This window comes from Homo sapiens, chromosome 5, assembly GCF_000001405.40.
Source record: "Homo sapiens chromosome 5, GRCh38.p14 Primary Assembly".
Classification (NCBI taxonomy): domain Eukaryota; kingdom Metazoa; phylum Chordata; class Mammalia; order Primates; family Hominidae; genus Homo; species Homo sapiens.
This window is the reverse complement of record NC_000005.10, coordinates 151661096-151687935: the sequence shown is the minus strand read 5'-3', so window position 1 is coordinate 151687935 and position 26840 is coordinate 151661096. Positions and strand designations below refer to the sequence as shown.

The 26840-nt window shown below is 47.8% G+C and overlaps 1 protein-coding gene and 1 long non-coding RNA gene across 4 annotated transcripts, besides 6 other annotated features; one reads left to right on the top strand and one right to left on the bottom strand.

Annotated features, from left to right (window-relative positions):
* On the bottom strand, positions 26-10991 carry CLMAT3 (colorectal liver metastasis associated transcript 3). The gene is made up of 5 exons (NR_109873.1): positions 10889-10991; positions 8600-8716; positions 8180-8280; positions 1985-2107; positions 26-1554 (listed from the first exon to the last, which is right to left on the bottom strand). It is a non-coding gene; the product is annotated as a colorectal liver metastasis associated transcript 3 (long non-coding RNA).
* Positions 253-1080: an enhancer, noted in NCBI's record as "H3K27ac hESC enhancer chr5:151066417-151067244 (GRCh37/hg19 assembly coordinates)". NCBI's record gives its function as "activates a minimal SCP1, AML or CMV promoter by ChIP-STARR-seq in naive H9 embryonic stem cells {active_cell/tissue: H9 hESC(naive)}" and the evidence as "EXISTENCE:reporter gene assay evidence [ECO:0000049][PMID:30033119]".
* On the top strand, positions 1021-26840 carry SPARC (secreted protein acidic and cysteine rich). 3 transcript variants are annotated; one of them, NM_001309443.2, is made up of 10 exons: positions 1021-1071; positions 11735-11804; positions 13265-13324; positions 14720-14807; positions 16242-16363; positions 18152-18272; positions 20336-20469; positions 21427-21575; positions 23701-23849; positions 24337-26840. In NM_001309443.2, exons 2-10 carry the CDS (start codon positions 11748-11750, stop codon positions 24363-24365), a joined length of 909 nt encoding a protein of 302 aa, NP_001296372.1. In that variant the 5' UTR covers positions 1021-1071; positions 11735-11747; the 3' UTR covers positions 24366-26840. The 3 variants fall into 3 exon arrangements, with proteins under 3 accessions (NP_001296372.1, NP_001296373.1, NP_003109.1); NM_001309444.2 differs by having other exon boundaries at positions 13262-13324; positions 24339-26840; NM_003118.4 differs by having other exon boundaries at positions 13262-13324.
* Positions 1081-1910: an enhancer, noted in NCBI's record as "H3K27ac-H3K4me1 hESC enhancer chr5:151065587-151066416 (GRCh37/hg19 assembly coordinates)". NCBI's record gives its function as "activates a minimal SCP1, AML or CMV promoter by ChIP-STARR-seq in naive H9 embryonic stem cells {active_cell/tissue: H9 hESC(naive)}" and the evidence as "EXISTENCE:reporter gene assay evidence [ECO:0000049][PMID:30033119]".
* Positions 2739-3568: an enhancer, noted in NCBI's record as "NANOG-H3K27ac hESC enhancer chr5:151063929-151064758 (GRCh37/hg19 assembly coordinates)". NCBI's record gives its function as "activates a minimal SCP1, AML or CMV promoter by ChIP-STARR-seq in naive H9 embryonic stem cells {active_cell/tissue: H9 hESC(naive)}" and the evidence as "EXISTENCE:reporter gene assay evidence [ECO:0000049][PMID:30033119]".
* Positions 23500-24699: an enhancer, noted in NCBI's record as "MED14-independent group 3 enhancer chr5:151042798-151043997 (GRCh37/hg19 assembly coordinates)". NCBI's record gives its function as "activates an origin of replication core promoter dependent on BRD2, BRD4, P300/CBP and CDK7 cofactors, and independent of MED14, by STARR-seq in HCT116 cells {active_cell/tissue: HCT116}" and the evidence as "EXISTENCE:reporter gene assay evidence [ECO:0000049][PMID:35650434]".
* Positions 24115-24164: a silencer, noted in NCBI's record as "silent region_16524". NCBI's record gives its function as "represses an Ori minimal core promoter by ATAC-STARR-seq in GM12878 lymphoblastoid cells {active_cell/tissue: GM12878}" and the evidence as "EXISTENCE:reporter gene assay evidence [ECO:0000049][PMID:35858748]".
* Positions 25157-25296: an enhancer, noted in NCBI's record as "active region_23460". NCBI's record gives its function as "activates an Ori minimal core promoter by ATAC-STARR-seq in GM12878 lymphoblastoid cells {active_cell/tissue: GM12878}" and the evidence as "EXISTENCE:reporter gene assay evidence [ECO:0000049][PMID:35858748]".

Here is a 26840-nt window from a genome sequence, read left to right as displayed (position 1 = left end):
ACAAAAAAACCGGAAACCACAAAACTTTTTGAGGACAAGGACCAGGTATTTATTAATTCTCATACCTCCCAGAGTGTTAGGCACAAAATAAACATTCAACCAAGACCTGTTGCACTGAGCAGTTCATATATAACAGGAGTGACCCAAGTTGAAACGTAGAATCAGCCCTCTCATACCACTTTTTGCCAGGTGATCATAGGCAAGTTACTTAGCATCTATGTTTCCTTATTATTAAAATGGTCATAATTACAATGCCTAAGATAAGGGGTTGCTGTGAAGATTATTAAATCCTCAGTAAACTTTGGCTATTGTTACTCCTATGATTATCATCAATATCATCAATTACCTTATCTGTTCAATACTGGTGGCACAGGTCCACCAGCTAGATGTCTAATCCCTTATGTGTCTATTAGTGGTACAAGTGGAGTTTGAGTGGGATTTTTTTTTTTAAGACCAGTTCCAAATCATCAAGGATGATACCACTAGTAGCAGCTTGTCTTGTCTGTACAGTGGTAAGTCCTGGCCTTGCCTTTGTGGCAAATACAACCCCCTTGAATTGCTTGGCCCTTCTCAGCATTGCCTAATATTAGGGAGGACTCCTGTAAAGCTCACTGGTTAGAAGATCAAGACACTTGGGCCTGGTTCTGCCCCTGGGGGCCATTGGGTAATTCCTTGCAGTCTCCAGGCCTCACTTGCCCTCTGAACAAGAAAGAGGCTGTTCTGGGTCATCCCTCCAGGCCTGTCCAGCCCTGGCACTCTGTGAGTCGGTTTAGGCAGCAGCCCCGGAACAGATGAGGCAGGCAGGGTTGGGACGTTTGGTCAGGACAGCCCACCGCAAAAAGAGGAGGAAAGAAATGAAAGACAGAGACAGCTTTGGCTATGGGAGAAGGAGGAGGCCGGGGGAAGGAGGAGACAGGAGGAGGAGGGACCACGGGGTGGAGGGGAGATAGACCCAGCCCAGAGCTCTGAGTGGTTTCCTGTTGCCTGTCTCTAAACCCCTCCACATTCCCGCGGTCCTTCAGACTGCCCGGAGAGCGCGCTCTGCCTGCCGCCTGCCTGCCTGCCACTGAGGTATGTGTGACCCCCGCCCAGCCTTTCCCTTCTATAGTTGCACCAACCCCGACACCCCCGTTCACGCCGTCAGCTCGTGTGCAAGGGAGGGAAGCTCTGCTGAGGATGCGCCTCTCCTCCCGGCTCCATCACGGCTCCCCTTAAGAGCATGGCCCTCGGTCCTGTCTGCCTGTTGCTTTTCAGAAGGTGGACTCACTGTGTAACTTTGTCTTCCCTTACAGGTTTACAGAAAATAATCTCACTATGTCTTCGGGGGAGCATTTTCTCACTCTCTGTTTTTCTCTGTGTCTGTCTCTGGTTTCAGAGGCTGCCTGCCTGTCCTCTTTGCTCCCTTTGCAAATGTGGCAGCCTCCTCCTTTCCTGGGAATCTGATCCCATCACAGCTGCCACAGGGACCTGGCCAGCAACCGGAGTCTGTCCTCCAGATCTCGGTCAGGGGTTCTGTTTTCCAAAAGGGACTTTGCACGAACAATCAGTTGATCTCTGAAAGGCAAAGGGGGAGGCTTCACCATTAATCCACACCTCTGGGAAGCCTTCTGTTTTCCTCTAATTCTCCTCACTCCCAAACACCACCTTCCGTCCCCCCAATACACAAATTTCAGCACCATTCTGCCTGAAATGGCACCATCACAACCTCAGTCTTGGGTTAGGTGTTGTTCCTGTCCTGAGTTCCTTGGGATGGTAAACACAGGCAGTAGCCCTTAGTTTATCTAGATCTGAAAACCCAGACATCAGATATCGTCAACCAAGACATGGGTGTAATGGGAGGTGGAGTGTGCTGGGGGAGATATTCTCAGAAGGGGGAAAGGGGGAAGGGAAGAGGGAGAGAATTCCAGGGTCCCCTTCCGTAATCCACCCAAGACTAGTGTCCAGCCTGTCAGGGTGTCAGTTCTTCTTCAGACAAATCCACTACCTTTCTTCGCCGCCACTGGCTCCGTGAACTGGCTGTCAAGTGGACTTCCTTAGGGAAAGGGACTCCAAGGACTCCAAGGGAAGGGGGGCACTGGGATGAGTTATGTCTTCCAGGATTCCCAGTCTGCCCAAAAGGGAACAGAGAGGCATGCATTTTCCTCAGGAAAGGACAGCATTTTTTTCATTAGAGAAAATGTTTTCTCTAGTAATGCTTTAGAGTTAAATTTCTATACGCCCCAAGTGCTGGTGGTTTAGTGAGAAGCAAAGCAGAAGTAGGACACAGGCTTCGGGCATGCATTTTATGTGTGATCTTAGGTAAGTGTCTCCCCTGGATTTAGTGCCCCATCTGTAATGAAAGAAGGCTGAAACTGAAGGCTCTTTGGGGTGCTTTGTGTCCTCTAAAATATTCAAAGGAAGATTTCTTAACCAGGGTCTATGGAGTGGTCTTTGAATGGGCCTCAAGCCATCTCTAAGCCCCTAAAAATTGTATGCACTGTGTGTGTGTGTGTGTGTGTGTGTGTGTGTGTGTGAGAGAGAGAGGGAGAGAGAGAGAGAGAGAGGATGAATATGGGTGGTCACAGCTTTCAGCTTTAAGATATTCTCAAATGGATTAGAGGGCATGACGTGGGGATGGAGTGAGGACTGGTAACAAATGTGTGTATTTGCTGGAGGATGAAGCCTTCTGAAAAGGGAGTGGTTGAGGAAAGAGAGAGTTAACTCTCAGCTATCAGCTGCCACATCGACATAGCCTAGAGCAAAGAGGGGGAGGGAGGAGAAGAAGGGGGTTGCCTGGAGAAGGAATCAACTTTTGAAACTTTCTCCAAGTCCCACCCACCAGAAGGCTCTTCTCTGCCTGACTCACTCTCCGAGGAATGCGAGTTGCCACGGTAACCTTTTTTTCAGGGTCTCTGCCTGCTGGCTGGAGGGGACCCTTGAAACCCTCTAAGAACATCAGTCTGAACGTACCCCACCCCCAAATTCAAGGCCTGCAGCAAATTCTAGGCCCTGCCCTTGTGATCTCTCAGGATTCCGGGGAAGCCTTGGGCCATGATAATCTCCTTGCAAGGGTGTTTGAAGACCTGGGTTTTAGCTCTGGCTGTGCCCTGAAGGTACCATTTGACCTTGAACTAATACTTCTTTCTGGGCCCCATTCCCTCTACAGTTAAAGAACAGTAACAGCAGCCACCTCTAGGGGGTAGATAGTGTGTAGAAGAAATGGGATAATGCACAGGGAAGCACTTTGCGAATTGTGGCATTCCCTCATAATGCAAAGGGTTTTAGAACTGATGGATTAAAGGCATCCAAAGACCTAGTGAAATCATTCTCAGCTTTTTTTTTTTTTTTTTTTCCTGGCAGCTCCATCATCTTGGGGTTTGTATAGAACTTTCCTTTACTAGAAGTACTGACAGGAAAAATTTTAAAATCATAATATTGTTTATCTTCATTTTGATTTGGGGAACTTCTTGTGTATTTCCCAAGACTGTTGTGCCCTCTATGTAGGAAAAGCATTGGCCAAGGGTGAAAAAAAAAAAAAAAAGTGTGTTCTAACTCCCAGTGCCTGACATTGGGAAAGACACTTCCTCTCTTGAGGCTGCAGTTTCCCAAACTGTTAAATAGAGTTTCTAAGCTAGATGATTTCCCAGGCACCCTTCTAACTCTGAAGTCCTATAAACCTAAATCCCAGATACCGCTTTTATTCAAAGGAATAGCTTGCCTGCATTTTTAACACCGCCTTACTGCACCCCCAGTTGAAAAGAAAACAAGAAAAGATGGGCTAGGGGATCTTGAGTTGCATAACCATCATGCTGTAATCCTTATCCATCTGTAGAGATTTGTCAATCAACAGTGTGGCTGGGGTTTGCTATTCATGAGAGCAGCTTTCCTTGCTGAAAACAAGCTATAAATAAGAAAGAATGGTGAAGGAAAGGAAAGAGCTGAGGATGTGAGGTAAACAGTAGAATATTTGGCTTTTGAAGTTGTTTATGTAGGTAGATAAATATGCAGAGATAAACAGGGACAGGTACAAACCCATAGGGATGAAGAGTATAAACATCGATTTCATCAACAGGCACCCACTGGCTCAGCTAAAAATAAGTGCCTCATTACAGGAGCAGACACAGAAAGTCATTCACTCACACACCTCTTCCTGGATGACAATGATTTACAGACAAGTTCCAGGAATATATCTCAATGAATGTGAAAATTCTGACCCTCGCCTATTACAGGCTGAAACAGACAGATGCTAAGTCAGGCTGTATGTAACTTACACAGACATGCCATCAGGTATACAAACACACACCGCCACTTGCAGCCACACATGGATGGATGTGCACAGTCAAACATATGCACAGTCAAACATAATATGGATCATGACAATGAGACAGACGTGTAACCTACATTTATCACCAACCACCTCTATGTCTCAGAGAGAGAGAAACTGAGGCTCAGGAAGAGAAAATAACTCACTGGAGGTCACATAGCAAGCTGGCGTCTGAGCCAAACTTCCACGTGTTTGGAGCCATTTTGATATTCACCTTGCCTTCCCCCCCAATCCCCATTTGTTCAGTTTGGAAACACACTTATGCACACAAGCCCCATGGATACTAAGTGGTGAGCAGCACTTTGTCTCTCCCGTTGGCTGGCCTGCAATGCCTATTCCAGCCCACGTGGCTTTGTCATTAGGCCCAAAGGCCCTGCATGATGTGCCTGTAGGCGGCTGCTCCCTTGCTTCTAGCTGGCTCCCTCCCAAACGTCAGTTTCAAAGGAGAGAAGGGAAAACCAGCCTTGAGCTTTCAGCAACCCTGAGGACCTTGTTTCTACAGCACAGACCCTGATGCCTCCCTCCCTCCCTCCCTCCCTCCCAACCTCAATCCTGAACCCAGGGACAGCTGGGCTGTGCAGGGCCAGGGCCAGCAAGTAGTGACTTGACGGAATTATTTAGAGAAACAGCCTCTCCTCAACTGGCAGCTTAGACAGGAAATCATCTCTGCTCTCACCCATCAAGCTATAGAACTTTATGTCTGCAAGGAAAACATGAACATAGACAACAATTGTTGTCAGAGCTGGTTTCTTTCAGAAACTTGGTATTAACTTCTCTCATCTGGGGATCACTCTGGGTCATCTTGATGTTAGTCATGGCATTAGGATTTCAGACCTATCAGATAAAAAAAGCAAAGCAAACATCTGGATGTTTTTGAACATCTGGAAATTTGGCTTAGACACCAGCTTGCCGTGTGACCTCCAGTGAGGTATTTTCCTTCTCTAAGCCTCAATTTCTCTACCTCTACAATAAGAGGCAGCACACAGAGGTTTCATGTGGCCTGACAACATCACTAATTCATCGGTAGTGGCTGTCAGAAGAACTGTGTTCAGGATTCTGATGACTCTCTAAGCTTTAGGAGAAGAGGTCAAGCGATTGATTAGTAATGTCTGCCACATGTGCAGGAGGGGTAGGTGGAGGCCACGTGTTTGTCACATATGCCACATATTTGCTATCTTTGGGATCTCGGAGGCTTTTCCAGATGCAATAGCCTGGACACTTTGATGTTATTTCTCATCCTTTCATTTGTGGTCACCACAATGCAGCAGCGGTGCCCTAGAGGGAGCCAAGGATGAAGCCTGAAGCTCCACCCCAGCCTCTGCTAGCCACAGTGAAATGTGGCATCTCAGATGTCTTTATGGAATCTCGGGCTGATTCCAGCCCCAAACTCTGGAGCCACCTCTGAGTTGCCCCAGAAGCTCTCCAGTCCTAAGTTTTAGCTACCACACCTTAAAAGTTTCCTTTAGCGTCTTTCCTTCCAGCAGGAAATAGAAGTGGAAGCAGGGAGTCAAGGGGCAAGTGGAGAGAGGTAAGGCTCTAAAAAGCTTCTGCCCAAGTTGATCCGGAAAATCAGAGCTGAAAAGAACCTAAAGGACCACCTTGCCTAAGGGTTCCATATTGTGTTCCTAGGAGAAAGTACAGATGTTCCAAGGTATCTTAGGGAATGTCCCTGTGTGTAGGACTCCCACTCCTCAGCTCCACTCCACTTTTATCTGCTTTTCTTTTTTGTGGATTTTTTTGAGAGGGAGTTTCACTCTTGTTGCCCAGGCGAGAGTGCAATGGCACAATCTTGGCTCACTGCAACCTCTGCCTCCCAGGTTCAAGTGACTCTCCTGCCTCAGCCTCCCGAGTTGCTGGGATTTTAGGCGCCCGCCACCATGCCCGGCTAATTTTTTGTATTTTTAGTAGAGACGGGGTTTCATCATGTTGGCCAGGCTGGTCTCGAACTGCTGACCTCAGGTGATCTACCCTCCTTGGCCTCCCAAAGTGCTGGGATTACAGGCGTGAGCCATTGCGCCCAGCCTGCTCTTGTTTTTTAATTTCACACTTATTGATTAACTAGATAATACTCATTCACATGGTTCAGTACATGCTAAAAGATTTCAGCTGTTTGAAATATCGGACTCTGCAGAAGACTTCATTGAAATAAAGGATTTTCTGGCTTACATAATTTTGAGCACTGACCTTATACAGACAAGCTGGGGGTGTTAGTTCTGGAGAGCAGAGGAGACTCCCCTGAATTCGCACAGTGAGCTGGGAGACATGCTGACTTGCTCTCAGCTCTCCTGACTTCCACGTCATGAGGCCACCTCTGAGCTGCTGTGTCTGCTCCCAGGGGTGTGAGCAGGAGTGCCATTGTAGCTGCATGTGGCCACCTCTCTGGCCTGCCTGGCTCGGTCCCCATGTCAGCAGACCCCAGGCTCCTTCCGAGTCCCAACTCCCTGGAGGGCCTGGCTCTTGGCTTCCTTTATTAGCCTCTAGGCTTGTTTTCCTCTCTTTGGGCTTGTTTACCAGCAACATGTGTTTTTGGAGCCCTTGTTTCCAAGCCAAATAGTGAGAGTGAGATGCTTGGCTGGTATCAGCTGCCCAAGTAAGAGGCCAGCCCTGGGCCTGGTCTTCGTCACTGTATCCTCTGGAGGCTGGACTTACCCAGACCAACAGGGGCAATATGTCCTTTGTTCCACCCAAACACCCCTTTCTCCCTGGGCTTATAAAGCACTGGAATTTTGCACTGAATTCTTTCGGGGGATGGAGATTCTGGGAACCTCGGACTTTATAAGATGCTCTTCCCAACGACAACATTGCTTACCTCTTTATTTGGATTCTCTTGTGTAAATCACCCATGAGCCTTTAAAGATTGGTATGTTATTGTTTCCATTTTACACATTGGGGAACAAATTGAGGCCCCAAGAGGTAAAGTTGATTTCTAAAGGTCATACAATTACTAAGTGGTGAGCCAGGATTTGAACCTGTATATTCTGGCTCCAGAGCCTATGAGCTTACCTTTATGCTATACTGCCTCATAGTTTATTATCACTCTGTCTACCATGGTAGCCACTAGCCACATGTGGCTATTTAGATTTAAGTTGATTAAAATAGATGGGCATGGTGGCTCACGCCTATAATCCCACCTCTTTGGGAGGCTGAGGCGGGCGGATGGCTTGAGGTCAGGAGTTCGAGACCAGCCTGGGCAACATAATGAAGCCCCATCTCTACAAAAAAGAAAAGAAAAGAAAAATTCGCTGGGTGTAGTCACAAGTGCCTGTGATCTCAGCTACTCGGGAGGCTGAGATGGGAGAATCACTTGAGCCCAGGAGGCAGAGGTTGCAGTGAGCTGAGATTGCGCCAACCACACTCCAGTCTGGGTGACAGAGGGAGACCGTGTCTCAAAAAAAAAAAAAAAAAAAAAAAAAAAAGATGTTTTCCACTATTCTCTATTGCAGTATTTCAACAAGGTATGGGTTAAGTAAGATATTTTGGATTGGCCTCAGTCCTTTTGCATAAAATTTTTAAATAAAAAAATTGGTTAAAATGAAATACAATTTAAAACTCAGTTCTTCATTTGCACTGGCAACATTTCAAGCATTCAGTAACCACTTGTAACCAGTAGCTATCATAGTGGACCACGTAGATATAGAATGTGTTCATCATCTTGGGAAGTCCTGTTGGGTTGCATTACTCCATAAGTTCTTTCCACCCAAATAAGATTTAATGATGGCAACTCAGTTTCTTTGCTTCACATCCTAAGTCTATCATTCTGAGACCCACAGTCCATGATTCTATGATTCTGAGGTATCCCCCCTGTTCTAACGTTCAGTGGCTTTTTAACGTCCAAGGAGAGCCCAAAGGAGGCCCTTTATGTTTTGAGGGACAAACCTGGGGGCTGGCTGTACTTTTCCATCCTCAGAGTCTTTCCAGAGAGAGAAGTGACCTCAGCTTCAGGTCCTGCTGGCAGCCAAGGACGGGTTTTCAGCAGTCTCCAGAGCAAATAAAGGCAAAAGGAAGGGACTCGATGTACGGAACAGGAGGCAGTGGCGGCTGGGAGGGGGCTAAAACTGTCTGCATTTGATGGCCACCATGCCAAGGGAAATATGCCTTCTCTTCCTCCCCTGGCCCTGGGCATTTTCCTTCCCAGGAACTCAGGCCAGTTCAAGGCCCAACTGAGCCCCATTCAGGTGACCACCTGGGAGCGGGTAGCTGCCAAGGGAAATAGTGTGCAGAGGTAGAGACATACCAGTGGTGGGGTAGGGTTGCACGGGTTCTCACCCTAGCCCTGCCACCCAGTCACTCACTCACTGCTGTTAGCCGTTGGCAGTTTTCTCCTTTCCTCTAGGCCTTGGTCTTCTCATCTGTACTATTGGGCAGAAATATGTGACTTGAGCCCCCAGTGGGGTGCTGGATTATGAAAACACCCTGAAAATGATAAATGTATGCATCATCACAGACTAAAGAAATACAAAGGAGGGAGTTTTTGTTTAATATTGGTCATTTATATGAAGGGAATTTAAATTTTCGCCAGGCACGCTACACCTAGGTTTGATTGGCAAAGGATCACAGCTGTGAGTTCTGAATGCTGGGGTTTGATACTGTGTTCTGACCTTGCTGGGGTGACTGTTATACTCCATTAGCTTTGCAGGATGGACACAGGGCTCTTTGGTCAGTGGTAGTTTAGAGAGCCTCAGAGAGGTATCTCGTGGGGAGGCAGGGAGATGGCTGTGCATCTGGAATAGTTCAGCCGCTTCCCTTCCCTCCCATCTCATCATCTGGGGGAAAAGTGCTCTTGGACTGGTGGTGTAGCACCGGGTGCTGGGCAGGACCCAGATTTTGTGTTTGTGTTTACAGTTTTCTTCCAAAACTTTTAAGGTGTATTCCAAGATTTTGCGTTCTGTTCTTAACAGTCTCTCTGCATTTCTCCCCCACTCCCACTTGTCTGAGCGTAATTCCTATTAGGCTCACCCCAACTCCATGAGTGAGAACGCTTGCCTATTTGGAGAGGGCCTGAATTGTTGCATGACTTTGGACAAGTGCTTCCTCCCTCTCAACCTCAGATTCCCCATTAGGACAGTGGGACTAAGAACCCTTCCATGCCTGTCTGCCTACTTCCCAGCATTGTCAGAAGGCTCTAGGAGACAGTGTTATGTGACAGTGCTTTAGAAACTATGAAGCAGCACTATAAGACTTAGAGTTATTTTTCTCTTCTGGCTGCAACAGCAGGGATGGGGGTGGCAGGGAGGGTGAGTGTGCAGCTGGAAAAGGAATTCAGGAAGATGAGGAGGCAGGACAGACAGAAGAGCCGCCCAGCGAAACCTTCCCCTGGTCACAGAGGGGAGCGCGGTTACTCTGCTCATATGAAGGACGCAGACTCAGGGAAATGTCTGTCTTCCTGTCTTTCTAATCTGAAGCTTACTACATTTCCAGTCCTAGCTGGGCTATTTCTTCAATAACATGACTTCCCTGTCATTATAGCTCAGACAGGGTAACTTTTTGTTTTGTTTTGTTTTAGCTGCTATTTCACTTTGATCCTTCAACCTCAAACTATCTCAGACAAGTCCTTCCTTGATGTTTTCTTTTCTGTTCCATTTGTCCCAAGCCACATGCAGGAGTTATTTATCTTGCGTCTTCCAAAAGGGGAAGCAAGAAGGGAGATTTTTCCACTTAAGCCTGGGGAACAAGTGAACAACTGTGTGAGGGGAGGAACATTCCACAAGCTGCCTCAAAAGGGAAGACTAGACTCCTCTGGAAGTTGGGGTTATTGTGAAGCAATACCAAACCCCCAGGTCCTTTACATTTCTGTTAGTTTTACTTCATTCACTCTGTGCAATAGGGGGTGAGGTTTTGTGTCTCTTTAAGCCCAAGAAAGGACCATTATGAAGTGGGCTCTTCCTCTGCCTGTTTCTGCTTCCCAAATGCTATAGTACAAGTGAAGACATATGATCCCAGAGGAGACCATATGTGTCAAGACCAGAATGTGCTTGGGGTGTCTTAAGAGCATTTTAAGGACCGAGGCTGCCACTTCAAAGTTCACCTAGTCTACCCATTTCAATTGATAGATGGGGGAACCAAGGTCTAGAGAGACCAAAAGACTTGATACTACTGTGGTAGAACAAGACCCCCTGGCATTTAATTTCAAGCTGAGTATTTTTCTCCATGATGCCGGGTTACCTCCCACCACCATTTGGTCAGTTGAGAAGTCTTGGAAGAAATAAGGGATGATGAGCCTGACAGGGAGGTTTTGGGAGAAGAAAGAGGGAAGACATGGCCACTGTTGCTCCTGATGGAAGGTTATTTGTGGGTAGAGAGAGCAGGTTTGTTCTTTGTGGCTGCAGGGGAGATGGGGTAGACAGATCAGAAAGTTTGAGGGAGGCACATTTAGATCAGTAAAAGAAAGAACTTTCTAAAGTCACTTGAGAATGAAAAGCCATTTAGTTAGTGCAAGAAATGAAATGTCTCCACCACAGAGCCTCTGTTAGGAATAGCATTTTAGTTTTGAATCCTCAGAGGAGATACTGCTCCAAAATCCCTTATAGTCATGAGAGTATTAGAGTCTAGAGCTTGGCATTTAGAGAATGAGGCCTTAACAGTTACCAGAACAGAGGTATTTTCTAGATCTCAGCTAACATCCCCTCTGCAACACATGGAAGCATCTGGATGGTTTCCGTACAGGACCTAAAGAAGTGCTGTCTCTTCTGGGTAGAATGGAGAAAAATGTGGCCACCCTCAAGTTTCCATGGGTTACATTCCAAGACTATTGTTCTTTGTTTTAGAATGTGGATCTCATTGTCCCAAACTGGCAAGAAGTTCCTGCCTATTAACTTCTCCCATTGCAGAGGGAGTAGGAAGGAGGGGGAGGAGGCGACAGAGGAGGAAGAGGAGAGATTGGGTTTAGGGAAAAAAATAATTTTAGAATATCAGGGATTGAAGGGACCTTGAAGATGATCTGGTTTGGCATTGCCCAAACTTAACTAGTTAGCCCATCACCTTAGTTGAATCACTTTGCAAAAACTTTAATAAATGTATTACAAAAGCAGATTTTATATCACTACCATAAATGGAAAAAACTCTGTGTACCTTTGTCATAAATAGAAGGAAACTGTAAAAACAAACACATAAAAAAAACAAAACAACTTGATTCAGTTCCAGCTGGATATAACTTCCTGTGGAAGCTCTGAGCTGGAGGCTTATTCTCTTTTTGTTAAAAAAGGAGATAGATGAGTATAAAGGAGGTGTTTAAGACATCTTGGCACCAAACTGAGACTTTCTTCTCATATAAGCAGAATTGAAAGAATATTAAATGGAACCAACCTCCTCATGTTTTTCACTATCATTTAACTTGTACCATCTAACATTATCTTGCACATATCAGGAATTCAGAAGGAAATCTCCATAAGGAAGTCTCACCCTCACTGAACTCTCAATCTCTCCTCCCCATAGGGTTCCCAGCACCATGAGGGCCTGGATCTTCTTTCTCCTTTGCCTGGCCGGGAGGGCCTTGGCAGCCCCTGTAAGTACCTAAATATCATGTCTTCTTGTTTTCATTCCTACCGCTAGCACCAGGGGTTCTGAGCCTGCCAGCCCTGGATGCTGAAAGGGAACAGGGACTTCCCCATTTCAAGTTAGTGGTCTTTTTTTTTTCTTAAGTTAGGAAGCTCGGGATAAAAACTGGGATGAGGACCATTGGGTGGAGGTATCAGAGAAGAGAGAGTTCCATGTAATGTTAGATAAACTTCTTAGTAGTCAGAGCCTCCCAGCAATGAACTAGGATTGCTTTAGAAGGAAATGACCTCTTTGTCATATGAGGAATTCAAGCAGGCAGGAGACAGGATGTGGGGGATTTCTGGTAGGGGTGGTATTAGAAGAGATTCAAGCTATAGAGAGAGGAATGTGTTGGCTTCTGAAACAGTGAGGGTTGTTTGGTTGTAAGCAACAGTTCAATCTGACTAAATTGGGGAAGGAGGGGAAGATACAGAGGTAGATTATAATATTAAAGGCCTTGGGGAGGACTGGAAAAGGGCAGCTCTAGGCTTTGGGAGTTAAGAACTAATGGACAGTCTCTGAGATATTGCTGTCTGAATGAATCAACTCCAGCAATTTTCACATCTTGAGAGAATGTGCCAAGAAGGTTTTTATAAATTCAAAAAATGAGAGCCAATCTGGCTGAGCTTGGGTCCTGAGCCAGCTTCTTGGCCAGGTGAGAGTGGGGCCCCTTGATTGACAGACAGTTCCTCGAAGCATTGCATGCAGGGACAGGAGTAGTTATCCACAGCTCATCTGGAAGCCTTCACAAGGAGAGGAGGAAGAAACAGGGCAGGCAAAAAGTGCAATTTCTTTCAACCTGTGATCCCCTCATCCTCTGTTTACTAAGAAGTGGGAGTGATGGCAGACCCTGGCAATCTTGATCAGGCTGGTAGATGGAGGCAAAAGTTTCTCAAAGTTGGCATTAAGTTTTGAAGCAGCTCCAGCCAGCTAAGGGCCTCAAAGTTGTGTGTTTTCTTGCTTCCTCCTACTCCAAGTTGAAATGGCAAGAAAAATTGCCTAATAATACTACTAATAATATCACACTGTGAGGAAGATGATGACATCTGTTAAAATTCACAGTGTCATCCCCTCTGGATGTCAATTTTCCTATCTGTAAAGTGAAAGAATTGGTCTGGATCAGTGATTTTCAGACTTTATAAGAATTCAAAGCAGCAGAAATACTTTTCCAAGCTAAATCTTAGGTAGACACCTAGGATATAAAATATATAAAATGGGAGCTGCTTGAGTGTTCCACGGTGCTCACATGACTGGCTTCTTCTTTGTTCTGTCCCTCACCATGGCAGTCCATGAGGCACAACTTTGGGGATCTCCAGTAAGCTGCTCTCCAAGCTCCCCTAGCCTGTATCCGAGGCCACAGGCACTTTGGAGGTGAAGCTGGCCTTATTCCTGACCCCTCTGAACGCTACTTTCTCTTTCCAACAGCAGCAAGAAGCCCTGCCTGATGAGACAGAGGTGGTGGAAGAAACTGTGGCAGAGGTGACTGAGGTATGTGGGCAGTGACCGCAGCCCCTTAGCCCCTCTCTACCTGTATCTGTGCCCTGAGAAATTAGGGCGGATGCTGTGGGTCTCAATGCTAGAGTGGGGCATTCGTCTCCCTGTACACACATAGCATAGATGCAAACCCTGAGTATATCCCACATCCTGACACACTCCTGAATGCTTCCCAAACCTTCAACGGAACCCTACGTTTGGGGACCAGGACCTTAAAATTTTTGTTTTTTAAGCTATGCAACAGTTGTTCTTCCATGATTACCCACAGTTTTTGCAAACGTAAAACAGAGGAGGCCGGGTGCGGTGGCTCATGCCTGTAATCCCTGTAATCCTTTGGGAGGCCGAGGCAGGCAATTCACGAGGTCAGGAGTTCAAGACCAGTGTGGCCAACATGGTGAAACCCTGTCTCTACTAAAAATACAAAAAATTAGCTGGGCGTGGTGGCGGGTGCCTGTAATCCCAGCTACTCGGGAGGCTGAGGTAGGAGAATCGCTTGAACCCGGGAGGTGGAGGTTGCAGTTAGCCAAGATCTCGCCACTGTACTCTACCCTGGGCGACAGCATGAGACTCCATCTCAAAAACAAACAAACAAACAAGCACACACACACACACACACACACACACACACACACACACACAGAGGAAAGGGGAGATGCTTGGGTGTGGCTGGCAGGGGTGGAGGCTTGACACCCTCTTGTGAACATAGATCTCAGTCAATTTAGAAAGTTTACTTTGCCAAGGTTAAGAATGTGCCTGTGACACAGCCTCAGGAAGTTCTGAGACATGTGTCCAAGGTGGTCGGGAGTACAGTTTGCTTTCATACATTTTAGGGAGACACGAGACTTCAATCAACATGTCTAAATTGTGCATTGGTTGAGTTCGCTAAGGCAAGACAACTTGAGAAGTGAGGGCTTCCAGGTTAGAAGTAGATAAGAGACAAATGGTTGCATTCCTTTGAGTCCTTGATCAGCCTTCCCCTGAATACACAATTTAATCTGGCTCAGTGAATCTGCATTTTTACATAAACAATAGGGGAGAGGAAGCAATCAGATAAGCGTTTGTCTCAGGTGAGCCTCAGAGGGATGACTGCATAGAATAGGAGGCAGGTTTGTCCTATGCAGTTCTCAGCTTGACTTTTCCCCTTAGCTTAGTGATTTTGGGGTCCAAGGTATATTTTCCTTTCACACTCTCTTTCCCTAACACCCCTGGTGACCTCTAAGGCAGCTCAACAGAATCCCAGGCATACTGCAAAACACAGCAGGCCTATAGATTAAATCTGGATTCCCAACCCTGCGTTTGTGCTTTCTGTGACCTGGAACCCTTCAGCTACCCTTATGGGTCTGGGATGGGAGTGGGGCCATTTCACCCATTCTTCTCCCTCAATTCCAGGTATCTGTGGGAGCTAATCCTGTCCAGGTGGAAGTAGGAGAATTTGATGATGGTGCAGAGGAAACCGAAGAGGAGGTGGTGGCGGAAAGTATGTCCCTTCCCTGTAACTTGGCACATCCAAGCTGCCCTTGGCTGCCTGGGCCTGGGGCACGAGGACAGCCTACATGAGGCTCCTTCCAGCAGAAATGCAGGGTGGGGTCCTCAGTGGGCTATGAAGGAAACACGGCTTTGACTTAACAAGTGGGAAACTGTGGCACTCAGTCCCCTGGGATCTGGGCAAGATCGGTTTCCAGGCCATCCATGTGTGTGGTAGGAAGGAGAGTTCTCCAGCTGGAAATGGGCTTCTCCCCTCATAGCTCTTTGCCCTGAGTCCAAAGCTGAGTTTCCCAGTCCCACGGAGGTCGCTGATCACATCTGGTCACCGAAATCTCCCATTGCTTCTGTATCAGCCCGTGCCCCACAGAGAAGTAGAACTGAGAGAAGAGATCAGGAACTTGCACACTCATAAGCTCATTCTATTTCACACAGTCCAAGGAAACGAGGTCCTGAGGAAATGCAACCTGACATAATCCGTACCATGCTATCCATGCGTTAGTGCCCTGGGAGAGAAATGACCTAGGGGCTCTGGCTCCAGCCCTAGGTGCAAAGCATTTGTACTCAAGGGGTTAAGAGCAAGGACTTTGGAAGCGGTCCAACCAAGCTTTGAACCTAGGCTTCTCCACGCCAGCTTGCTTAGCATCTCGGAGCCTCAGTTTCTCATCTCTCATATGGGGCTGATGAAGATGGCAGACCCTTGTCCCAGGGCTGCCGGGAAGTTTTCAGACAAGCTGAGTAGGCATCCGCTAAAGGATTATTAAAACACCCAAAATAAAGCATTGCGAGGAAAAGGCCACATTAAGCTCTCATCCTGAGGGGATAGCTAATGGTATTTGATCTAGCTGGGCACAGGGTTTCTGTTGAACAGAGGGACATCTACTGAGTCATGTTCCTTCCCGCCTCCACGCCCACCTCATCCGGTGTTTACCAGGCTCTATTGTCCAGCATGGACTTTGAGGCTCTTCTCCCTTTTCCTTTACTGCCACTTAAGTCTGTTTTGTTGGGCCTCAGCTCCCTGGCTCAGTGTCAACAGCTGACTTTCTAAGCCATTCTAGAAAGCTTATTCTGGAATCCAGAAATGCCCCACTGTGATTGTTCAATGGAGACCCAGGAACACAATGGTTGCTTCAATCTTCAGGAAAGCCATATGGTATCTAGTGTTTCTGGGTCCCAGACTGAGCCTCCAGCCCCCCAGAAGTGCCTGACCTCTATCTCAAGCTAAACCTCTAATCCCCAGGCTGAACCAGCTGCTGCCCTAAATGTTGACTGTGAGGCTCAGTGCAAGAGCAGGCAGGACTCAGGGCTGTCCAAAGCCCAGAGTGGGGGCCACAGTCAAGGACTGTCAGCCCTGAGATCTGTCCAGGTAGGATGGGGGTGGATGTGCTAGTCCAGGTGATGCTAACTCCCTTGTCTTTCTGCCCTACAGATCCCTGCCAGAACCACCACTGCAAACACGGCAAGGTGTGCGAGCTGGATGAGAACAACACCCCCATGTGCGTGTGCCAGGACCCCACCAGCTGCCCAGCCCCCATTGGCGAGTTTGAGAAGGTGAGGGCTGAGAGACAGGGGCAGGGGGAAGGGATTGGGCACTTCGGAATACAGGATGTCTGCTCAGGAAACTGTTGGCTTGGTGGTTCTATGGGGCAGTGCCAGTCTCAGAAGTCCCCTTGCTAGACCTAGTCCCAGCAGGAAAGAGGGGATGAGTCAGAGTGCTCTGCCTGGCACTGGATCTTTTCAGCAACCAGCAAGACTTTAAACAGCACCATCAGGTTCCAAGCCCTGTGCCAGACTCTTAGAGCTAAGAGTATAACAGCATCAGCAAAGAATCAGGTCCAAAAATACGGGTTCTGGGGCCAAACTGAAGGTTGACTTCAAACCTCATCTCCATCACTTATTAGGTGTGAGATTTAAGCTAAGTTGCCGAACCTTTTCAGGTCTCAGTTTTCTCACATCCAAAGAGAGGATAAAAATAGTCCTTAACTCATAGATCTGTTGTGGAGATGTGTCAGAAATGTTTGGTACATAACAAGTATCCAATAAATGCTACTTAATTTTAAATTATCTCTCAAATATGTCCCTTCTCTCCAATAGGATCCATCCATCCGTCCAAGTAAATATTTTTTGAGTGCCTGCTCCTGCCTACCATCATGCTAGTGGCAGTCTAGCTCATGGCAGCAAATCTAGGGCCAGCACTATTCCTACAGCCTCCCATCTGGCTTCTCCATCTTCAGTTTCTCCAGAGACTACATAGCCTCTGGGCTCCACATTTTAATATCATTGTTAACATTTTCCTCCTCCTCACCCCTCCCCACTCCCAGTGCCCAGTCACCAGTGCCCATCAGTTCTCCCTCTGCAGTGACATATAAGCTATACTAAATAAGTACGGACAGGATGTTCAACACAGGCTCCCCTCCTCCTAACACAGCTACTTACGGCCACTGCATGTCCAGCCCTCAACATCTCTGCTTGGCCACCCCTATGTTCAGAGATCGACTAGGACTCCATTGGCTCAGCATACAGTTGTACTCACACCTAAGGTTTAGTACAGCGACATATTCAGGATATACAGCTGGATCGTAAGGGAAAAAGACACTAGCAGAGTCTGGAGGAATCTGGGTGGAGACTGACTGACTCCCAAGAGGGGTCATCAGAGTGCATTCTTACCCCAGCTACAAAGAGGCAGCCACATGTGAGTGATGTTTCTTTCCAGGGAAGTTCATTAGAGACTCAGCACCCAAAGTTTTAATTGGAGGCTGGTCACATAGGTACCCTTTGCCTAGCATGCACCAGAATTTCACACTTCCAGAAGGAAAGCAGATGTTCAGCATAAACCAGATTGTTTGTACAAACAGTCCAGGCATAGCGAGCCACTCTTATCAGTTAGGGAAAGATTTACAACAGTGCAGAGAACTGTTTCCCAGCTAAGTTCCCAGACACCAGCCACAGGCTGACCTTACAAGCAGGCCTTTTCTAAGGATAACAATTCCAGGCCTGCTATGTTAACTCTTCTTTGAACACTCTTGTTTCTCTCCCATTCCTGTCTTTAACTTTCTCTTCAAATATCTTCCAGGATTTTTTTCCCTATATCTCAGAACTGACTCAGTCATGCCTCTGCTCAGAGACCATCGATGGCTCTCAGCCTGGGCTGAGCATTGACCTGGGAACCCAAAAAGTGGATTTGTGGCCCAGCCCTATCACTAACTCACTATATGACCTCAGGCTAATGACATTCCTTGCTTAACCCTCAGTGTCCCCATCTCTGAAATGGACAAGGATATTGGTATCAGCGAAGGGCTTTGGGAATGAAGGAGGGGGTACTCTGTGCTTTGCCAACAGGTGTGCAGCAATGACAACAAGACCTTCGACTCTTCCTGCCACTTCTTTGCCACAAAGTGCACCCTGGAGGGCACCAAGAAGGGCCACAAGCTCCACCTGGACTACATCGGGCCTTGCAAATGTGAGTGTCCTTGGGCCCTTCCAGACTCCTGTCTTGGGGAGAGAGCTCTGAGCTGGCACTGATGCTGTCTCTGCCACCCCCATGCTGGGTGATCTTGGGCAAATCTCTCTCCCTTTCTGAGTCTCGGCATCCCCATTTATAAAATGAGGTAATTGTCTATGAGTTGGCTCCTCTCAACTCTGAGTTCAGGGCACTTTCTGGGGAAGGACTGAGCGATTATGGAAGGTCAACATCAGGGAAGATTTCTGGAGTCTCTCACTAGCATCTGAGACAACTGCATTTCATTTCTCTAATGAGGAAGAATTTCTTCTCTCAGGCTAAGTTGAATCTTTCTTGCTTCAACACTGTAAAGCAAAAATGATGTTTGACCTGGGCCTACAAAATATTTTGAAAATATCTGATTTTGAATGCTTTAAAATAAGGGCATGCCTGTCGGTTTGCTTTGGGCCCTGTTACTTGGTACTGTCATATCTTCACCCTTTTACTCCATTACATTCCTATCTGCCCTCCGAAGAGAGAGGATAAGCACCCTCTTCTGGAAACCTGGGAGTCAGTTGTCTGGGGAGGGATGCCAGGGTGTGGTCTGATCTTTGGTTAGTGACCCCAGCTGCAAACTCAGTGGGGCCAAGTGCCTTGTTCAGTATCCTCCCTATCATGGGAGACCCCCAAGACCACACCTGCTCCCCCTCCAAGGCAACATCCACACTGTGGGTCTTGTGTATTCTGGCACCCGATGGCAATGAGGAGAGCCACTCACCTACCTCAGGTGTACAGGGTGCAGAAAAGTATGTAGGGGGTGGGAAACAAAGTTCTCCTCGTGGGACCCCAGGTATGAAATTGAGAAGGTACAGAGTAGAAAAGGAGGGTTGGGGGAAGAAGCATGGGTAGGAAGTCCCTGGGCAGCAAGACTAGAGAGCCTGTCTTAAGGAGTCTTTATGAAGTGGCTTTGCTTTCCCTGAGGCATGTTGCCCACTCACTTCAACTCCTAAGGTTTTTATCACCAGATATTCTCTCCCAGACCCCAGCTGATGATGAAGGTAGCCTCACAGAGGGGACTTTCCCTGGTTCAATGATGAGGGAAGAACAGACCCCTAAGCCCCCAGGTGACCACACTGCCCTGGATGCTGGATGAGGCTCTGACATTGTGGCCTTGAGCAAGTCCCTTCTCTCCATGCTGACCTCTAATAAGTCCAGTACAAAGTGTGAACCTGGGTCAGGCGCGGTGGCTCACGCCTGTAATCCCAGCACTTTGGGAGGCCGAGTAGGGAGGATCACTTGAGCTCAGGAGTTCGAGACCAGTCTGGGCAACGTGGCAAAACCTTGTCTCTGGAAAATATACAAAAATTAGCTGGGTATGGTGGCATGTGCCTGTAGTCCCAGCTACTCAGGAGGCTGAGGAGGGAGGATTGGTTGAGTCCAGGAGGCTGAGGCTGCAGTGAGCCGTGATTGTGCCACTGCACTCCAGCCTGGGCAACAGAGTGAGACCCTGTCTAAAAAAAAAAAAAAGAAGAAAAAAAGAAAAAAGAAAAGAAAAGGAAAAGAAAAGTGTGGACTTGGATGAAATCTTCAGGTCCAACATTTGGGATTCTAAGTTCCAAAGACCAGGTTGGAATCATTTCTAAGAAGGTTCTGGTGGTTACACATTCCTGAGTCCTCTACTCCCCACTCCCTGCCAAGCTGGGCCTGTGGATAGATGTGATCCCTCAGCCTCCCAGCTTCAAACACCTGCCAGTGGTTGACGTGAACAACATGGGCTCAGTCTCAGCTAGGATCACACCCAAAGCCCAGCACCCAGTAAGGTGCAGGAGCCATCCATTTCCCTGAGCAGAGCAGATTAGGCTGAGGAAAGCAGCAGCCATGCCTTTGCACAATGCATTTCTAGGGCATTCTTCCCACACATAATCTCCTCTGCTCATTGTCCTGTGAAGAAACTGTGGCCTGGAGAGGTTGAGCCACTGTGCCAAGGCCACCAATGCAGGTGGTATGTGGGTGGGTGGGGGCCTGGGGTGGGGAGCACGGCCCAGGCAGGGTCTGTGCTGACCGCCCTTGTGTTTGGAACCTAGACATCCCCCCTTGCCTGGACTCTGAGCTGACCGAATTCCCCCTGCGCATGCGGGACTGGCTCAAGAACGTCCTGGTCACCCTGTATGAGAGGGATGAGGACAACAACCTTCTGACTGAGAAGCAGAAGCTGCGGGTAAGTGGTCTCTCTGGCCTTGCTGGCCCCGTGCTGGTGAAGATCCAGTCCCATTCCTAGAACTGGGCCCCCAGCTGCAGGGCGGCATCCTGCTCCGGAGCGTGCATTTACCCCTGAGCACCAGGACACGTACTTCTCTTCCTGCCTTTGGAGGCTGTGGTGCACATTAACATCTTAGAGGCTCTGAGAAGTCCTGCAGCAGAGACCTGCTCCCTTTGCTTAACCTAACGTTAAACAAAAGAGACACAAACAGCCCTATTCCTTTTTCCTTTGGAGTCTGTGGATCTTAAGCTTTAATGAGCATATTAACTACCCCAAGAAGCTGATAAAATGCAGATTCCTTGGCCCCATCTCAGGCCACTGAAACAGTGTCTCTAGAAAGCAAGGCCCAGGAAGCTGCATTCTAAATACTCCCCAGGTGATTTATGTTTATTTTATTTTTTTGAGGCAAAGTCTCACTCTGTTGCCAGGCTGGAGTGCAGTGGTGCGATCTCGGTTCACTGCAACCTCCACCTCCTGGGTTCAAGTGATTCCCCTGCCTCAGCCTCCTGAGTAGCTGGGACTGCAGGCATGCTACCACACCTGGCTAATTTTTGTATTTTTAGTAGAGATGGAGTTTCACTGTGTTGGCCAGGCTGGTCTCAAAACTCCTGGCCTCAGGTGATCTGCCTGCCTCAGCCTCCCAAAGCGCTGGGATTACAGGTGTGAGTGTGTGCCCGGCCTTCGCCAGGTGATTTTGATGTGGGTAGCTATATGGAGAATTCTTTGAGGTCATCCCAGGCTTCTATTTTTGTGAATGAGATGCTAGTACCCATCTATGACACCTCCCTCCCCTCGCTGTGAGCTTTGGTCTGGCTAGTCTCTGCCTGCTCTGGCCTTCTGGGAGGGGTGGGAGGGCCCGACTGGTCCAGACAATCTCCATGGACCTCTTGTCACACACAGTCTCTACTCCCTCAGGTGAAGAAGATCCATGAGAATGAGAAGCGCCTGGAGGCAGGAGACCACCCCGTGGAGCTGCTGGCCCGGGACTTCGAGAAGAACTATAACATGTACATCTTCCCTGTACACTGGCAGTTCGGCCAGCTGGACCAGCACCCCATTGACGGGTAAGACCCCAGACCCTAGAGTGAACAGAGCTCAAGGCTGGCAGGTGCACTAGCTATGGCCAGAAAGCCTCTCAGCAGCCTATACTGCTCCAAGCCCTGGCATCCACAGTTTGCCTGGGGATTGGAGCAGAAGGATGAGGCATCTGGAGAAAAGATGTGGACCTGGGACAAAGAAACCGATAAGACACTCTCATGCTGAGGTGAAAGTCAGTAGGAGCTCAAAATAGCTCCATAATCCTGCAAGTACTAGGCGTGGATATCTGGATAATGAAGGAGTGTGAATTAAGAAGGAGTACCAGGCTCCAAGGGGTGGCAGGGGACAAGGTTGGGTCAGCCACACGCCCCCTGTCCTTCAGCAGAACATCCAGGGGCAGAGCAGCCACCTGGCACTGTCTAAGCCCCCTCCTAAGGCTCAGCCCCAATAGGGCCCAACTGACCCTGGAAGTTATCCAAAAAAGCCTGTCTATTTTGCAAGCCCCCAGTTTGAGGGCTCTTGTCCCTTGTCCAAACGAGTTATGAGGCCCTGTGCAACTGCACTGCCGAACAGGCAGGCAGCTGGCCAGTTAGCAAATGCTTATGGAGTGTGCATTTTGTGCCCTGCACTATTCTAGGCAGGGGATTGAACAGCAGTCAGAGCTGGCATGGTCCTTGCCCTCATGGACTTATACTCTGTTCATAACCTGTCACTACCTTCTGAACTTCTCTTGTGGTGATGAAGTGAGAGCCCCTGCTCAGCCTCAGATGGAGCAAGCTACACCTGCACCTTCCCAGAGTGGTTTTTTCTTCGTCCTTGGGTTGTGGAAGCAGAGCATCACACAGAGGGGAAAGGAAGGGCTGCCCTACTCACATACTCAGGGAACTTCCTCTCTAGGATGTTCACCCCTCGCTCTTTGTCCAGCCTGTGTGCCTGGAGTCTGCCAACCCTGCCAGTGATCCTGAGGGCTGGGGTCTCCTGGGCTCTGGGAATCTCCCGGCCACTTCTCTCCCAGGCTTTTGCCATGGCTGGGATCCAACTGAGTCACTCATTATGGCAGGGAGGGGAAAAGTCAAAGGGGAACATCTGGAGCTCAGGCAAAGCAATTTGATCCCACTGCAACAGAGGGCCTGGAGGGAGGCTTTCAGATGGGGTGCAAGAACAGCACATCTGGGAAAGGGGTCCAGCTTGGGCAAGGGGACCCGCTTCCTCCTCCTCCCATCCCAGGGCTGTAGGTGACCTTGCCTGCATCCCTGCCCCTCCCTGGGCCTCAGTTTTCCACCAGTACAATGAAGGGGAGGAGAATGTTCCTATCAGTTCAAACATTGTGTGATTTCTTTGGTGAGCTGGGTGGGGCTGCGAGGTCTAGAGGTTAAGAAGACAACTGGAGTCACATTGTTCCCTGGAGATCCTTTGTGGATCTTTAGGGACAAGTAGTTGGGGGCTCTGGGAAACAAAGAAAAAAATTATACACATGCTCTGGAGTCTAAGGCCAGCAGGGAGAATAGGGAGGGAGGACAGTGGGAGAGACATCCAAAGGGCCTCCCTCTCAGACATTACAGGATACACAAGCAAAGCTCTATGAAGATGGTTAGAGCTCCCGTTGACCCTCACTGCCAATCCCAGTCCCTTTCCACATTCCTCCCCAGAAGGCAGCACTGTCACCAGATTGGTGTGTCATTTTTAGACCCTTTACTAGGCATTTATAGATGTATAAATGTGTGTCCATAGACAATATACAGTGCTGTGTCATGCTAGATTTTGATCTACCCATAGCAGAAGTGCTGAATTTTGATTTTAAGTTTCTGTGTCCCCAGTTCTCAGCCAATTAGGAAACAATCAAATACACCAAACAGACCTTTGTTTTTGAGACCCTGAAACCTTAGAGCTGGAAGGGCCGTTAGTAATTATGGCCATCTCCTCCTCTTTGCTGGAAGGAGAAACTGAGGTTCCGAATGGTGCACTGCTGTTCTCTGAGTCTCAGAGCAGTCAGTGGCAGAGCTAGGGGTAGACCTGGGATTCTGGCTTTTTGTCCTGCTTTAAATATCCTTTCCTCCATGCTCTGGGGCAGGCTAACTCCCCGGTTGCCTCCCAAGGCTGGGTGTGGAGCTTTTCCATGCCTCAGGCCCTCCCCTGCCTCCTTCCCTGCAGGTACCTCTCCCACACCGAGCTGGCTCCACTGCGTGCTCCCCTCATCCCCATGGAGCATTGCACCACCCGCTTTTTCGAGACCTGTGACCTGGACAATGACAAGTACATCGCCCTGGATGAGTGGGCCGGCTGCTTCGGCATCAAGCAGAGTGAGTGTCTGAACAAAGAAGCAAGGGGCATGGGCAGAAACACTGCTCCCAGGGTGCTGGGTTGTCATCCCCCCACTCTCCGCTCTCTTGGTCTGTCTGTTGTCTGTCCTCTCTGCCTGTCTCTGCTCTCTCTGCCTATTTGACTCCTGTCTCTTGGGCGTCTTCCTGATCCTTCTCTGTCCATCCAACTGTCCCTCTCTCTTTCCCTTCCTCAAGCGTTAGCACTCACCCGTGCTAAACACTATTTTGGGAACTGGCAGGCACACAGAGAGGAAACAGGAAGTGTAACTTGGCAGCGTGTGTAAGAGACAGGGACAGGCCAGAGACAGAGAGAGCGAGATTCCTCCGTCACTGACTTCCTGGGTGACCTTGCATGGCCACCTAGACCCCTGCCCCTGGGGATGGGTGGGAGTCCACTGACTCCTTGGGAAGTGCGTTATCATCGACACAGCCTTATTTTTAACCGTGCTCTTTTCTTGCTTTGCAGAGGATATCGACAAGGATCTTGTGATCTAAATCCACTCCTTCCACAGTACCGGATTCTCTCTTTAACCCTCCCCTTCGTGTTTCCCCCAATGTTTAAAATGTTTGGATGGTTTGTTGTTCTGCCTGGAGACAAGGTGCTAACATAGATTTAAGTGAATACATTAACGGTGCTAAAAATGAAAATTCTAACCCAAGACATGACATTCTTAGCTGTAACTTAACTATTAAGGCCTTTTCCACACGCATTAATAGTCCCATTTTTCTCTTGCCATTTGTAGCTTTGCCCATTGTCTTATTGGCACATGGGTGGACACGGATCTGCTGGGCTCTGCCTTAAACACACATTGCAGCTTCAACTTTTCTCTTTAGTGTTCTGTTTGAAACTAATACTTACCGAGTCAGACTTTGTGTTCATTTCATTTCAGGGTCTTGGCTGCCTGTGGGCTTCCCCAGGTGGCCTGGAGGTGGGCAAAGGGAAGTAACAGACACACGATGTTGTCAAGGATGGTTTTGGGACTAGAGGCTCAGTGGTGGGAGAGATCCCTGCAGAACCCACCAACCAGAACGTGGTTTGCCTGAGGCTGTAACTGAGAGAAAGATTCTGGGGCTGTGTTATGAAAATATAGACATTCTCACATAAGCCCAGTTCATCACCATTTCCTCCTTTACCTTTCAGTGCAGTTTCTTTTCACATTAGGCTGTTGGTTCAAACTTTTGGGAGCACGGACTGTCAGTTCTCTGGGAAGTGGTCAGCGCATCCTGCAGGGCTTCTCCTCCTCTGTCTTTTGGAGAACCAGGGCTCTTCTCAGGGGCTCTAGGGACTGCCAGGCTGTTTCAGCCAGGAAGGCCAAAATCAAGAGTGAGATGTAGAAAGTTGTAAAATAGAAAAAGTGGAGTTGGTGAATCGGTTGTTCTTTCCTCACATTTGGATGATTGTCATAAGGTTTTTAGCATGTTCCTCCTTTTCTTCACCCTCCCCTTTTTTCTTCTATTAATCAAGAGAAACTTCAAAGTTAATGGGATGGTCGGATCTCACAGGCTGAGAACTCGTTCACCTCCAAGCATTTCATGAAAAAGCTGCTTCTTATTAATCATACAAACTCTCACCATGATGTGAAGAGTTTCACAAATCCTTCAAAATAAAAAGTAATGACTTAGAAACTGCCTTCCTGGGTGATTTGCATGTGTCTTAGTCTTAGTCACCTTATTATCCTGACACAAAAACACATGAGCATACATGTCTACACATGACTACACAAATGCAAACCTTTGCAAACACATTATGCTTTTGCACACACACACCTGTACACACACACCGGCATGTTTATACACAGGGAGTGTATGGTTCCTGTAAGCACTAAGTTAGCTGTTTTCATTTAATGACCTGTGGTTTAACCCTTTTGATCACTACCACCATTATCAGCACCAGACTGAGCAGCTATATCCTTTTATTAATCATGGTCATTCATTCATTCATTCATTCACAAAATATTTATGATGTATTTACTCTGCACCAGGTCCCATGCCAAGCACTGGGGACACAGTTATGGCAAAGTAGACAAAGCATTTGTTCATTTGGAGCTTAGAGTCCAGGAGGAATACATTAGATAATGACACAATCAAATATAAATTGCAAGATGTCACAGGTGTGATGAAGGGAGAGTAGGAGAGACCATGAGTATGTGTAACAGGAGGACACAGCATTATTCTAGTGCTGTACTGTTCCGTACGGCAGCCACTACCCACATGTAACTTTTTAAGATTTAAATTTAAATTAGTTAACATTCAAAACGCAGCTCCCCAATCACACTAGCAACATTTCAAGTGCTTGAGAGCCATGCATGATTAGTGGTTACCCTATTGAATAGGTCAGAAGTAGAATCTTTTCATCATCACAGAAAGTTCTATTGGACAGTGCTCTTCTAGATCATCATAAGACTACAGAGCACTTTTCAAAGCTCATGCATGTTCATCATGTTAGTGTCGTATTTTGAGCTGGGGTTTTGAGACTCCCCTTAGAGATAGAGAAACAGACCCAAGAAATGTGCTCAATTGCAATGGGCCACATACCTAGATCTCCAGATGTCATTTCCCCTCTCTTATTTTAAGTTATGTTAAGATTACTAAAACAATAAAAGCTCCTAAAAAATCAAACTGTATTCTGGTGTTCTCTTCTACACAGTGGGAGGGCGAGCAGTAGGAGAGATTGGCCCATTTGGTGCTGGCCATTTGAGGAATGCAAGCCCAGCACTAGTCTCATAATCTCTAGGAATCTGTAGAGAGAGGAATTGAAGTAAATTTCAGCATTGGCTCATTCAGTCATTCGGCGACATTCATCAGGTACCTGCAATGTGTTAGGGGATCTTATGAGTAGGCAGCGTGCGTGATCCTTGCTCCCCTGGAGCTTTCTAACATTCTAGCAGGCAGACCACACATAAATTTGCAATACTGTTTCTGATAAAAACGTGCTGTAAAGGAAATAAAGCAGAGAACTATCATGGAAAA

Excerpts from the sequence above, each read along its gene's own strand:
- SPARC (NM_001309444.2), top strand. The coding sequence starts at position 11,748 with ATGAGGGCCTGGATCTTCTTTCTCCTTTGCCTGGCCGGGAGGGCCTTG. Across the intron at positions 21,576-23,700 it reads GACCAGCACCCCATTGACGG|GTACCTCTCCCACACCGAGC; the intron begins GTAAGACCCCAG and ends CCTTCCCTGCAG. Across the intron at positions 23,850-24,338 it reads CTGCTTCGGCATCAAGCAGA|GATATCGACAAGGATCTTGT; the intron begins GTGAGTGTCTGA and ends TGCTTTGCAGAG.